This window comes from Homo sapiens, chromosome 3, assembly GCF_000001405.40.
Source record: "Homo sapiens chromosome 3, GRCh38.p14 Primary Assembly".
Classification (NCBI taxonomy): Eukaryota; Metazoa; Chordata; class Mammalia; order Primates; family Hominidae; genus Homo; species Homo sapiens.
The window spans coordinates 188211437-188225680 of record NC_000003.12 but is presented as its reverse complement, the minus strand read 5'-3'; the positions used below and the strand labels follow the sequence as shown (position 1 = coordinate 188225680).

Here is a 14244-nt window from a genome sequence, read left to right as displayed (position 1 = left end):
GAAGGAAGGGCATTTCAGTTCTTCTCTTATTCTTAATGCATCCTAGTTACTGATGCCCATACTTTAAGTGGAAAACACTGATGTTTAAAACTCATTAAAACATATACATTGATTTTAAAAGGCAAATGTGTTCTTTTTGTGTGCGGGACTCACCAATTGAGGAAAAAGATCTTCCCTCTGATGAGCGTCCAGTGGAACAATGAAAAAAGCAGAACACAGGGAATCAGAAGACCAGGTTCTGTCTTCTGCTCTGTCTCTGAGCCTCAAAGTTCCCACCTATGAAAAACAGAAGGGTGTTGCTTATGTATCTCTAGGGTCTTAACCAGCTTCAGAAATTCCCAGGCTTATAAAGTCTCTGACTGGGCCGTGGTTTACTTCTATACCTCCTAAACTCCTAGTCAGATCCTGGCACTCTTATTTCACTAATTTGACTCAGAATGATGGGGAAAGAGAATGCTGATGCCTCAGTGTTCATATCTCAGCTCTCCTAGTTCTCCTGGGAAAACAGCTTCATCTTAATAATGGAGGTGAAAGAGGCAAGTCAGTTAGATACTCAAATTGTAGGGAAGAAAAAAATTAACAGATAAACCTAAACTATACCAAATAAAAAAAGAAAAGGAATATGAGTTTGGAGACAAATTTCTAACTATAGGACCTAATGTTCTTTGAACTTTAGTTTCCTTGCCTGAAAAGTGAGAATCAGTGAGCAGCAGAGGGATAAACAATCTTGACATTTCCCAGTAAGCCGTCCTTGATATCATTTGGATATGTGTCCCCTCTGAATTTCATGTTGAGTTGTAATACCTGCTGTTGGAGGTGGGGCCTGCAGAGGTGATTGGATGATGGGGGCGGATTTCTCATGAATGGTTTAGCACCATCCTCTTGGTGCTGTCCTCACGATCACGAGTGTGTTCTCATGATATCTGGTCATTTAAAAGTGTGTGGCAACTCCTCTGCCTACTCCCTCTCTTGCTCCTGCTTTTGCCATCTGAGACACCTGCTCCTCCTTTGCCTTCAGCCATGAGTAAAAGCTCCCTGAGGTCTTCCCAGAAGCCAAGCAGATGCCAGTGCCATGCTTATACAGACTGCAGAACCATGACCCAATTACACCTTCTTTCTTATAGATTACCGAGCCTCAGCTATTTCTTTATGGCAATGCTAGAATAGCCTAATACAGCCCTTATTACAGGTTTTATTTCATTAGCAACTATTATTGTTTTGCTAATGATTACACAGTATGTATGCCAACAGACAAGTATCCCAAGGCAAGGGCTGTTATAAAACTTGTCTTTCATGTATGCAGGAGAAATCCACATACGAGAAACTACCATGCCCATTTCATTGTTGTCACTGTAAACATTACCTAGCCAATCATACAATTGTTTTGTGTACAAAACAATTCCAAGTTCAAAGTTGGGAGGGATTTTTTAAATGACCCACCTCAACTTTTCCAACTGACAAGAGAACCCGGTGGCCTGGGTAAGGAGGTGACCTCTTCAGGAGCCACTTGATCCACTGGATCAAGTGACTGCTTGCTTTGACAAAGGACAACAAAACACACTGGGCAGAGGGACTTGTGCTTGGTCACATGAGTCACACCTAGAGCCAAACCAGGACTTACAAATCCAGGCCTCGAACACCTATTTCAACGCTCTCCCAGTAACCTCAACAGCAGACAGAAATTAAGTAGGCAAAATGGAGTATAATCACTATCAGCCCAGAAAAGCAAGGAGTTTCCTGAGACCTAGTGGTCTTCAAGGACATTGGAATTCTGAAAGCCATTTCCACTGAAAGGAGAGAGAGGCATAATTTCAAACTTACTGAGAAATGGGTTGTTAGGAAGCCAACATTAGACCTGTGAACAATGCAATTTCATAAAACAAACGAAAAAGGTTGTCCCTACCCTCACCCGCAAGCTGCATAAAACCAAAGCTTCTCCTTGCAGAGAGAGATACAAATCACAACAGTTTCTACAACAGCAGCAAAGGGCATCTGACTTCCCAGATTTTTAAACTTCACTGAAAGGAAGAGCTCTCCACCCTTGGCCCTGAGGGAGTCTCACTCACACTCTCCAGCTTCCCTCCAGGCACAAATGAAAGTGGTCTCCATTTTCCATAGCCAACTTCTCTTTTAATAATTTTTTCTTATTTTCCATAAAGAGAACAAGCAGCTTTGCTAAAGAACCACTGTGAAATGATTGAAGTTCCCATGCAAACAAACCATTAGCAGAGTTCAAACGCAATTTAAATTACCAGTTGTTAAAGTGCTTCTCAATTTCGTGGTAAGTTTCCAAGGAGAATTACATGCTATATACTATTTAATTGGTTGTTTTCTATTTTTTAACATCCATTTATCCCCCCCACCCGGTTATAGTTCAGAAGTATCTATAAAAGCTTCCCTTTAAAAAATTATACATTGTTGAATAGATTAAATCTAAAGATTGAAAAGTATCAGAGAAACAGCTGCAGGATCACGCAGCTCACCAGAAATTGATGGTTTTGACACCACAAAACATGCAGAATTTTAAATCTTAGGAATCACCTAGTAGTGCCCTCACTCTTTACAGCTGAAGCACCGAATTCCCAAAAGGGAATGATGGAGTTGGCCTTGAGTATTTTCCCTGGTCAGCGACAAATTCAAGATGAGACACATTATTCCAAACTCCCAGCTCCCTGCCACCTCTTCCACATGTTGCCCATAAATGGCAGAAGAAGATGGTATGAAATAGCTGATAAACTTGATTTTCCACCTGTATTTTTTTTAAGAAAATATAAAGCCCTCTTCAAATATACTCCTGACCTCAAACATTATGGGCAATGGCAAGTATCTCTCCAAAAGAGAAGAAAATAAGTAAAGGCTGATGAATGAGTACAGTTAAAGGAGCTCAAAACAAGACACTTTATGAGCAGATTCTTGGCAGGAAAAGTCAAGACACTAATCTAGATTCATTAAACAAGTTATGTGACATCAACACTGCAGATTTTCACAGTTCTATCTGGCCCTGAATTAGTGCTGCCCCCAGAGACAGAGAAAGAGAGGATAAAAAAAAAATCAACAATGTGAAAGCAAGTCTTGTCATATCTGTAAATGGAAAGGATTTCTAGAAGCCATCAGGAGTGCAGTTTGAAGTTCCAGACTTTGATATTGGACTTGTGTAAAGGATTTTCTCAAAGCTCAGGTTTCTCTGTCTGCAAAACAGGGTTAATATCATCTACCCAACAAGGTGTATGCAACCATTTCCTGGGATCCCATATCTAGCACGTATGGCACAAAGCCTGCACACAATATGCACTAATTCACGTTCACCCCTTCCAAGGCTTTTATAATTTCTCAAAGCCTATAGTTCTGTGATTCTAATTTATGTGGACTAAAACCACGTCTTGTAAGCCAAGCATATTCCCTAAGTTTGTTAGATACTGTATGTCTCCTGACTGTAAACTCATTTATTTTATCATTTGAAAAAAAATTCATAAAAATTTATATATCTAAGTACTTTGCTTTAAAAGCAAACTTTTTGGAAATGCTATTTTTAAATGGCCTCCAAATCCACATTTTGAAACACACACACTAATAAAATCCCAGTTTCATATCCAAGACCTTATTTAAACTTTCCATCAACCATAAGAAAAATTTCCCAATTGAACACTGAAGAAACTGAGGAACGGAGAAGTTAGACACTCATCCAATATCTCTAGGCTAGTAAGTGGTAAAGCCAGGATTTGAACACAGGCGTTCAAAATCAAGTTTCATGACACAGGCTTTATTAATTTATAATTACAACTATAATATGGACAGTTCTTCCTCTAGAGGTGGAAATATACCTTTAAAACTCCTGCTATTTTCATATTTCATGGAGCTTTGGGATAAAAACAAAGCCTACATTTCAAACTATTTTTTTAAAAGTTCACATTAACAGCAAGTAAATCTTTCCTGAATTCTACCTTGCTATTATATTCTTAAGTGAAATAAAAAGCTCAGAACCCTGGCACTAAGCAGACATCTACTGGTATGTGGGAAACAAACCTGAAAAGGGTTAACAATTAACTAGCTGATATCAGACCAATTCAAAAACAATTCGAATGGCCGGGCTCATGATCAAACAAATCATGGGAACCCCAGTATGGGCTATGGAAACCACTCTGGCACAACTGTTAGTTAACAGAATGTCACATGTTCTGCATTCAGGGGCGCACCAAAGAGAGGTTTGCTAACACCTTCTGTCTTGGATAACACAGTGTGTGGACCTAGCAGGTGTAGGTGCTGAGTTGGACATGCCTAGGGGTGTCGAAGAGCCTCAATGGGGGACACACTGGAACACAAAAGACAGAATGAAAAGTGTAGAAAAGCACGAGTACATGCAACGTCCTTTTGAGGGTCTAAAAGTTCTCTGCAGATGATGTGACTTCTAAACGATGCCTGAACACCCAAGAGGATTTCCACGGATGAGGAGGAGAAAAATAGGCTCAGGGAACACAATGTGCAAAGGCCTTGAGAAGGATGAGTTCAGGGTGTTCTCAGAGAAAGTGACTAATCTGGTGAGGCCAGTGACAGAGGATGCAGAGGAATGTGGTGGGACACACGCCTGGAAAGGGATGTGGCAGCCAGAGCCTGGAAGACCTTGTATCTCATGTTCTAAAGCACTTGGATCTTAAGCCATAGGTGTTGCGTTTCGGGAAGTGACACAATAGAAAGTTAAATGGTAGCCCTATCCCTTTAAGAAATGAATCCCTTTCCATGGTCAGTTTCCAAGCATAGCAAGGGTAGGGGAGCTACCTATGAAGGGATCTTCTCCCTGTGGCCCCACTCACAGAGAAGTCGGGGGGCAGGTGGCTTTCAGAGTTGCTCTTAACCCATACCTTCAGTGACCCTTTCCTCTAGGTCTGAAACTCTCACCAACATAACAGACCCACTGGAAGGCCCAGGAAAGAAACAAAGTTTCACGTTCCAAGCAGGACTACCACTCTGCCTTCAGTGAACTGCCAGTCCCACCCAACTCCTTGAATCAGAAGAAGCTGGTCTGGAGACAGGCTCCATCCAGCCTTTCTGCTGTCTCTTAAGCAGGAGCCAGAGGCCTACCCAGCTTGTACTCTATGTGCCTGAAGCTCAACATCACAGAGCTCACAGAGTTCTCAGCCAGGCCTGAAACCTCGTGACATGAGATTAGTAATGAGCCTGTGCTGATGTCACCACTTAGGTTGTATGGAATCCTCCTTTCCCTTAAAGGAAACTTTGTAGCAGTATCCATATGTCAAGGCCTTCAAAGATGCAATGCCCTCCCTGCCCTTGAAGAGCTCCCAGTCTAGAAGGAGAGATAAGACATCAAGTAAGGGAGGACAAGTGCCACAGAAGAAGCACAGGTAACAATGCAAATTTTCATACCACACGGTGACATGACATGAGGTGATGTCATAAAAAAAAGTCATGACAACAAAGGAAAGGAAAATTGTTGACGATTCCAGATTTACGTGACCTCACCGGGAGAATCAGACCATTTTTATACTACTCCTGTCAACATGGTGGGTTTCAGGGGGAGCACCTATTGTATCACACCCATCTGGCAGATGGGAAAACTCAGGCTCAAGCAAGTTAACTGACAGTGAGGAAGTATCACAGCCGGGATTCAAATCCATATCCCATGCTCATATGCAGCATACATTTGTACTCTATTGCCTCACAGCTAACTGTGGTTGAGTTAGCAGAACAGAGAACACAGAGATCACTTCTAATGGATGGGAGAGCAGGTGGTGATCAAGGATTATTCCCTTCCCAAGATGGCGTCTGTGCAGAAGTTTACAGGAGGATTGGGAGTTCTATGAATGAAGATTGGAGAGGTTATCTCAGGCTAAAGGAAAGGCATGTGCTAAGGCATGAAGGTGAGAAAGTGCAAGATATATCTGGGGGTTGGTAGGAAATGTGTTTGATTTAAAGATATGTAAGCAGGAGCATCAAGGACCCACATGGACCCACAGTGGACCGATGTTGGTGTCCATTTATGACAGGTCCTGGATACCAGGGGCAGGAGTTTTTACTTAATACTGTTAAGTACTAGAAAAGTAATAAATGTTTCACAGCAAAACTGTGGCATGGTTTCAGCTTTACTTGGGATTCTGTGCTCTAACAGTAGGGCTATGCAAATAGCCTTTCAGCACCTGAGCCAGGGTCAGGAATAATGCGCCCTTGGGTCCTTTCAGGTCAATATACAGAAAGACATTGTTCCCTGGCTATGACTTCAGAGGTAAGAAAATCTACACCTATTTCATAGAGCCTGACCATCATCTTAAGAGCCTCCGTGACTCATTAAATATTAAATTCCGGGCCCCGGCTAGAGCACAGGTACCCTCAATTGGTAAACACAGCATGGGGAACAGGATAGAGTCAAAGAATAAAAGGAACTGTGCTTGACCCTTGGATTCTACACTTATTAACTATGGAATTTTGAGCAACTTACTTCCTTTTATCAAGGGTGCAGTTTCTTCATTTGTAAAATGGAAACGATAATATGTATACAGCTAGGTTCTTGTGAGAACAATCAAGTTGTGAGATTAAATATGAGGACGTGTGATTCCTACACGCAGGCTAACATGTTTAGAATAAATCCCCCCCACCCCGCCCCTAAAAGCCACCATGTTGAAAGGGTAGTATAAAAACTGCCCCATCTTCCTGGTAAAGTGATCTAAATCTGGATTTGTCAACAATTTTTTCTTTCTCTGTTGAAAATTGAGCTGTATTCCCCAGGCAAGTCATTACATCTTTTTGTGCCAAATTGTTTTCATCTTTTAAATGACCCAGTAATCCCACTTTGGGCAATATACATAAGGGAATAATCCAAAAGGAAAAAAGAAGGCAATTTGTTCAAAGATGTTATTCATAGTGCTATTTCTGGCTCTTTATATATCCCCCTATTATAGCACTTATCTCACTGTGCTGTAATTATCCACTCCCCTTCCATACGCCTCCAAATTATCTTTGAATCAATCCCCAGCACCTAGCACAATGCCTGGCATACAGTAAGAACTCAATAAATGTTTGTCAACTCAATGAATAGGTAATATAAAAGAAATTTTAGAAGAAACTTGAATGAGCAATAACAAAACACTGTTTTTAAGAGATTATGCTAATTATTTGAAAACCTGGTAACTACAGACTGCAAGAGGGGCGCATGAGAAAGCCTCAGAAATGAGTTTTAGATGACTTAGTGTATGATTTCTGAGCATCTCTGGGCTTAGGCTGATTATAGTATAAGATTGCCAGGGGATACACAGGAGGATGAGGTCACAAGCTAAGTTGCTTTGGCCTGGTGGCTAGAGGATGGGGCTTGGTCAGAATTTTGGATTCTCTACCTGATTCAGCCACTACCTAACTTCTCCAAGACCTGAAAAATGAAGTATCTGCAGGAAAGCCCAGCCTGTTAAAAGGAATTACAGGGAACTGCCAAAGGGCAGCAACTGTGAATTCAAATGTAAATGAAAAAAGAGGGCTGGTAGGTGCCCTTGGACCGCAGTCCAGTCCTCAAGACAAGGAGAGGCTTTCAAACCCCAGCTCTTCTGGGCTCCCACTGAGCCTTCCAGACCCATCTCACATGGAGATTGAAGATTCCTTACCAGGGAGTTTACAGGAGACAGAAATCTCTGCATGAACAGACAACACCATGAAAAAACAACATGTTAAATACAGCCCATAAAGTCAGCATCACTCTGAACGTTCCTCATTCTTGGTGGGAAAGAATGTTTTACAAAAATACCCAGGGAGAGCAAAGGAAGCTGCACGTTCTGCAGGGCTTATTTTGGGGCGTTCCAACAGCTCTCAGCTGGGAAGCCAAAGGCAGGAAGCCACCATCCTCTGTGCACTGGCCCAAAGCTCAAGGTTAGAAACTAAATGGGAGAGGGGTGAGAAACAGATACTCTTTGGTCTTGGAACGCCAGCTGCTTATCTGGGCAACCCCCTAGGGCACCTATTTTCATTTCCCTCTGAGTATCCCAGATTCCTGCCCATTTAGCTCAGCATTTCTCTGAAGGAAATCACACTTGAGATCCTATAGACGATCACTCCCAAACATGCCCCAAACTTACCTCTCCTGCCCAACTTCTATGCCCTAGTCAAAGTTACCACCACATCACACCTGAATTACGGTAAAAGTCTAGCCTAACCTTCTTGCTTCTACCCTTGACTCCCTTTTACTATCAGGTTCCCTCCACAGCAGCTGGAAAGATGCCTGTAACACATAACCCATCACATCTGGACTCAGGTCTAAGAAGCTCAGGTCTCTCACTTACCACCACCTGCTAGACCCTATTCTTTTCTCCTGCTTCTTCCCCTGCAGCCCACATCCTGCCAGCACATCAGTCTCCTTCTGTTCCTCAAACACAAACTCCTTCCCACTTCACAGCCTTGACCTTTGCATTGACCGTCTCCACTGCCTGCAGTGCTCTTCCCCCAACTTCTACAAGGTGGCCTCCTTGTCACTCAGATCTCAGCTTAAACATAACCTCCCAGAGTCCTTCCCCACTCACTCACAGTCAGAATGCCCTTTGTGACTCCTCCCTTGGGTTACTTATCAGTCCCTCTTGTTTAAGTGTTCCTTTATCTGCCTCCTTCACACACCTGCAGCAGCGTGTAAGCACCAAGAGATCGTTGTTGTGTGTGTCTTACTCTTTGCTCTAAATCGAGTACTGGGATAATGCCCAGAACAGTGCAAGGCACCTAAGTGGAAACTCAATAAAGATTTAATAAAATTAGATGAATACATGCCACGGATGGAAGAAGCCTGACAGATTGTATAAAAGGATAGTAGCCCTGCACTGTGGCTAACATCCTGGGCTTTGGAGTCAAATACACATTGGTCACTAATGCCTTTGCCCAAGAGCTATAGCGGTTTGGACAAGCTTTCTCACTTCTTTAGGCCTTAATTTTCTCAAAAGTAAAATGGGGATAATAGCACCTGCCTTGTGGGAGTGTTGGGAGAGTTAGAGACAGGATGCTTAGTGTAAAACTCAGCACAGCCTAAATGTTCACTGTCATCAACAGTAACCTCCTCTTTCAGGTGAGAAAAGTGAGACTCAGAAAGGGGCAGGGCATTGCCCAGATGAAACATTGCATTATGAGCAGAGTTAGGTGGGGTGTGGTGGCTCATGCCTGTAATCCCATCACTTTGGGAGGCTGAAGCAGGCAGATCACCTGAGGTCAGGAGTTGAAAACCAGCCTGGTCAACATGGTGAAACCCCGTCTCTACTAAAAATACAAAAATTAGTGGGGTGTAGTGGCAAGTGCCTGTAGTCCTAGCTACTCGGGAGGCTGAGGCAGGAGAATGGCTTGAACCCATGAAGCAGAGGTTGCAGTGAGCCAAGATCACGCCCTGCACTCCAGTCTAGGCAAGAGAGTGAGACTCCATCAAAAAAAAAAAAAAAAAAGGAAGAAGAAGAAGACGAGCAGAGTCAAGTCAGAAAAATCATGGCCAGTTTTGGCCTACTATTCCACAGACTTAATAATTACTAAAATATTAGATATCATGCCACATATCTATATATTCTGCCTTGTTCCAGAAATGATCTGAGGTACCTGACAAAAGATGCTAATAGTTCATGATTTAAGTGAGAAAGTGGGTAAGGAGAGGAGAAAATAAAGCAAAGAAAGGAGAAAGGGATACAAAAAATAAGAGCTGGATGTCTCATACCATTTGCTAGAGGTGAGCTTTAAATTTAGCTATGGGCTTCCTAGAGCCCAATACAAAAGAAAGGAAGCATAGCTGCGTACAGCCCTTTGGAACACTTGCTTTATTGAAATGCCATAGCAAGGTGTAAGGAGGTGTCACCATCCAGTTGAGAAGCACCCTGATTTGTCACACTCTTGCCAATTAGAATCCAATATCTGCTTACTCCTGATCACATGCCATTCTTAGGTAAAATTAGTCTCCACTACTGACTATGTGACTTTGGGCCACTTACTTAATTAACCCTTTGAAGTCTCTGGTTGCTGTTCTTCTATAACATGGAGGTTAAAAAATAGTACCTAAATGGATAGACAAAATGTGGTATATTCATTACCACAGAATATAATTCACCCTTAAAAAGGAGAAATTCTGACCCATGCTACAACATGGATGAACCTTAAGGACACTACGCTTAGTGAAATAAGCCAGTCACAAAAAGACAAATACGGTATGATTCCACTTAGATACAGAACCTAGAGTAGTCACATTCATAGAGAAAGAAAGTAGAATGGAGGATGCCAGGGGCTGGAGGAGAGGAAAATGGGTAGCTGTTGCTTATAGGTACAAAGTTTCAGATTGCAAGATGAAAGAGGCCTGGAGACTGATTACACAGCAATATGAATGTATTTAACACTGCTGAACTGTACTCTTTTTTTTTTTTCTTTTTCTGAGACAGGGTCTCGATCTGTCATCCAGGTTAAAGTGCAGTGGGGCAATCTTGGCTCACTGCAACCTCCACTCCCTGGATTCAAGCAATCCTCCCATCCCCACCTTCTGAGTAGCTGGGACCACAGGTGCATGCAACCAGGCCCAGCTAATGTTTGTATTTTTAGTAGAGGTGGGGATTCATCACGTTGGCCAAGCTGGACTTGAATTCCTGGGCTCAAGTGATCTGCCCACCTCGGCCTCTCAAAGTGCTGGGATTACAGGCGTGAGCCACCATGCCCAGGCTTGAACTGTACTCTTAAAAACCATCAAGATGGCAAATTTTATATGTATTACACCAAAATTAAAAATAATATTTTAAAAAATAGTTCCTACTCAAAGGCAGCTATAGTGCCACAATAATTTAGGTAAAGTGTTTAGCCCTGTGCTTGGCACCCATTAAGCAACCAATGCTTGTCAGCTGTCCTTATTCAGAGTATTAGTATTCATACTGGTATTATTTACTCCAACCTCTTACTGTCCCTGTCCCTCAGCACCACAGAAAAACACCCCAGGCTTTCCTTCTTCAAGGCTCTCTCCTCCTGTCTCATGAACAGGGCTTACAGTCACCACCCAGCCTCAGCTGGTCACAGAAGGAGACAGATTGTGTACAGGTTCCTGGGAGTCCTGTGCAACTTCCCTCCTCCCACTTGCTTCAAAGCAGATTAGAGAGTCGCTTCCCCTCTCTTTAAAACTGGCCAGAACAAACATAGGTCTCAGAGCACTTCCTCTGCTCTATTACATCTGCCACCTAATGCCACTGGTAATAAAATGCTTCCCCAAAACATATTTCTACCATCTTCCCTGCACTGGAAAATAAGGCCCTCAAGTTGATCCGAGGCCAGGTGCAGCAGCTCATGCCTGTAATCCCAGCACTTTGGGAGGCCAAGGCAGGCAGATCACCTGAGGTCAGGAGTTTGAGACCAGCCTGGCCAACGTGGTGAAACCCTGTCTCTACTAAAAATACAAAAATTAGCCAGGCCTAGTGGTGCATGCCTGTAATCCCAGTTACTCAGGAGGCTGAGGCAGGAGAATCGCTTGAACCCAGGAGGCGGAGGTTGCAGTGAGCCGAGATCGCGCCATTGCACTCCAGCCAGCCTGGGCGATAGAGCAAGACTCTGTCTAAAAAAGAAAGAAAGAAAAAAAAAAAAGTTGATCTGAAACTGAGCTGACTACAAAGAGTTACTCCTGATGGCTGTGAAACATCTGAGGTGACGTAATAGGTCGGTGTCTTCTGGGTCTCTATCCTGCTTTGGTAGGCTTAAAAAGTGTGTGTGTGTGTGTGTGTGTGTGTGTGTGTGTGTGTGTTTAAAATCTAATCAGAATCAGGACTCACCTTTGAATGGGCATAATATTCCAGAATTCTTACAGCTTCAAGAATAGTGGTAGAGGCTCAGATGGGAAGCCTTGCTGAATTTCTCTCAGGGAAAATTGCATAATTTTCACTTCCATGGATAGAAAGGAAGTTCCACACTATTCATTCTGCCTTTTGGACAAGTGATCATCCCCTTTCGTGAAAGAGAAAGATATAGGGAGCAAAGGAGAGCAGAAGGTTGCATTCATACGACATTCACATGAACAAAAGAAGGGAAAGGTAAGTAAAAATCAAAGAACAAAAAGAAAAGAAAAGAGCCTCATACAAAAACAACAAATCTAGGCATCTGAGCCCATATATCCTAACGGGAAGAGGTCTGAACTAGAAGTAGGTTCTAGTCCTCAATTTCCCACCAACTAGATTAGTAAGTGTGGACAGTTCTAACATCTCCCAATTTCCTCATCTCGCAATAGAGGGGGCAGCTTAAGTCTAGGGGAAGGAGAACGAACTGAGAGAGAAGATCTGGGTTCTAATCCCACATAATGAGCCATCTGTCTTCAGGGCCTGGGTCTCTGCTGCCCATTATCTCACACTGTGAAATTAGACAGATGTGCTGAAAACTCTGCAGGACTCTTCCAACTCTGACAACTCATCAAATCTACACAGTGACCTGCACACAAGGTATTCCAGACCGTGGATGCTGTGCAAATGCTACACATCAACATTTTGCATACTCTTAAATCCCACCATAACTGTTTTCAAGCTAAAACTACCCCTCCCTACATGTCCACAGACATCCCGACATCCCTTCCAGCTTGTTGCTTTAGCCTTAATCATCAGACAACAGCACTCCCAAATTGTCTTTCTACCCAACTCAAGTTAGGCCTCAGATGAGAGGAAATACCTACTTTTTAAAAAATATACAAATATAATTTTTCTTCAGGCCGATCTTGTCTTGAAATCCCACTGTAAGAAGTACTCCCCTGGGAAAGCAGCTGTCCACACCCCCAAATAAAAGTGACCAGCACTCCCAGCAACGTGTCCCATCACCATGCAAGTGAGCCAGCCCACAGGCTGTAAGCCCCAGGTCTGTGAGCAGAAATGGCAGTAATGATGTACTCACACGATGTCCAGCCCCCACAGGCAGCTGGCCCTCCACTAGCCCTCACTCCCTCTTGCAGGCCCTCAGTCCACTACGGGACACAGCAAGGCGGTGGTCTCGAAGCCTGAAGGGAACAGAACTGAGACATTCTCGCCTCAGCTTCCAGAACAAGGGACAGAGGAATGAAGGGGGAAGGGTGGGGGCAGGGTGGGGGGACGACTTTGTTTCTGGAAACAAGAATTCAAATCCTGCTTCTCCTAAACCCTGAGTCACCTCCCTCTCTTCCAATAGATCAGCCTGGTGGGTAAACATTTCCAAATATGGAGAAGCAGGCTGGAGGATGTCAGAAAAATCACCCTTCTCTCTTCTCTGGCACTTGAAGAACATGCCCCACTTTAACAAAGAATTCCTTACTCGGAGTAAATTATTAACCGCTAAAGAAGTGGATTCTCAACCCTTCCATACACTGTCCTATTCCAGGAAAAAACCTCCTCCACCCCAAACAAGGAAGTGACTGGTCTGAAAGGCTTTAAGCTCATCTTAAGAATGAGACCATCCAGAATGCAACTAAATTTATGAAATAAATCATTAATTTGGTGGAGGGGAGATATTTTGGGAGATGCACCTGAAAAGGTCACAAGAATTTAAGCTATGGTTCCTATGATGGCAGGTGAGTCTCAAAACAACTCCTCTCGGCCGGGCACAGTGGCTCACACCTGTAATCCCAGCACTTTGGGAGACCAAGGCGGGAGGATCACCTGAGGTCAGGAGTTCAAGACCAGCCTGGCCAACATGGTGAAAACTGGTCTCTACTAAAAATACAAAAATTAGCCAGGCATGGTGGTGTGTGCCTGTAATCCCAGCTACTTGGGAGGCTGAGGCAGGAGTATCACTTGAACCCGGGAGGCGGAGGTTGCAGTGAGCCATGACTGTGCCATTGCACTCCAGCCTGGGCAATAAGAGTGAAACTCCATGTCAGCCTGGGCAATAAGAGTGAAACTTCTTCTCAAAAAAAAAAAAAGAAAAAGAACAGCCCCAAGTCTCTCACGCCCAAGCCCAGAGTCTCTTGGTCTGGGAGTCCTCCTGAGAATGTAATTTGGCATGAGTCCTTCATGGGCACAGACACCGGGCTGGAAGACTCAGAATAAAACCAGACTCTCAAGAGAACACTGTTGTCAGGAAAAGTGGGGGTGAATTGCTCAGTTTAACTTGTAACATGGATTCCAACCCTAAGGTTCTGTGATGACTAAGTTGGAGCAGTGAAGCCAATCAGGAATGAATCTGATCTAAAATGACTCCAGACTGAATTAAAGGAGGAGAAAGAGAGATCAGACACTAGGGGAAATGGTGTGTCGGGATATAGGAGGTGCTCCGAGATGGGAATCCAAGTACCACATCTTGGCTTCCCGGTGGTTC

General features: G+C 43.4%; 1 protein-coding gene across 55 annotated transcripts in view, besides 1 other annotated feature; it reads right to left on the bottom strand.

Annotated features, from left to right (window-relative positions):
* LPP (LIM domain containing preferred translocation partner in lipoma) overlaps positions 1–14244 on the bottom strand; it is a 737651-nt gene that overhangs the window by 664991 nt on the left and 58416 nt on the right. For 32 of the 55 annotated variants that reach the window (NR_164692.1, XM_047448103.1, NM_001375457.1 and 29 more), the window contains one exon: positions 154–276. The exons of 19 other annotated variants lie outside the window; for them this stretch is intronic. Coding sequence is in view for 2 of the 36 variants with exons in the window: in XM_047448097.1 (XP_047304053.1) it covers positions 154–276 (123 nt within the window). In the remaining 34 variants the exon portion in view is untranslated. Of the gene's footprint in view, positions 1–153; positions 277–12634; positions 12786–12849; positions 12970–14244 lie in introns of those variants that run through there. 4 more of the 55 variants (XM_017006378.2, NM_001387669.1, NM_005578.5 and 1 more) reach the window with 3 other exon arrangements.
* Positions 11539–11688: an enhancer, noted in NCBI's record as "active region_20975". NCBI's record gives its function as "activates an Ori minimal core promoter by ATAC-STARR-seq in GM12878 lymphoblastoid cells {active_cell/tissue: GM12878}" and the evidence as "EXISTENCE:reporter gene assay evidence [ECO:0000049][PMID:35858748]".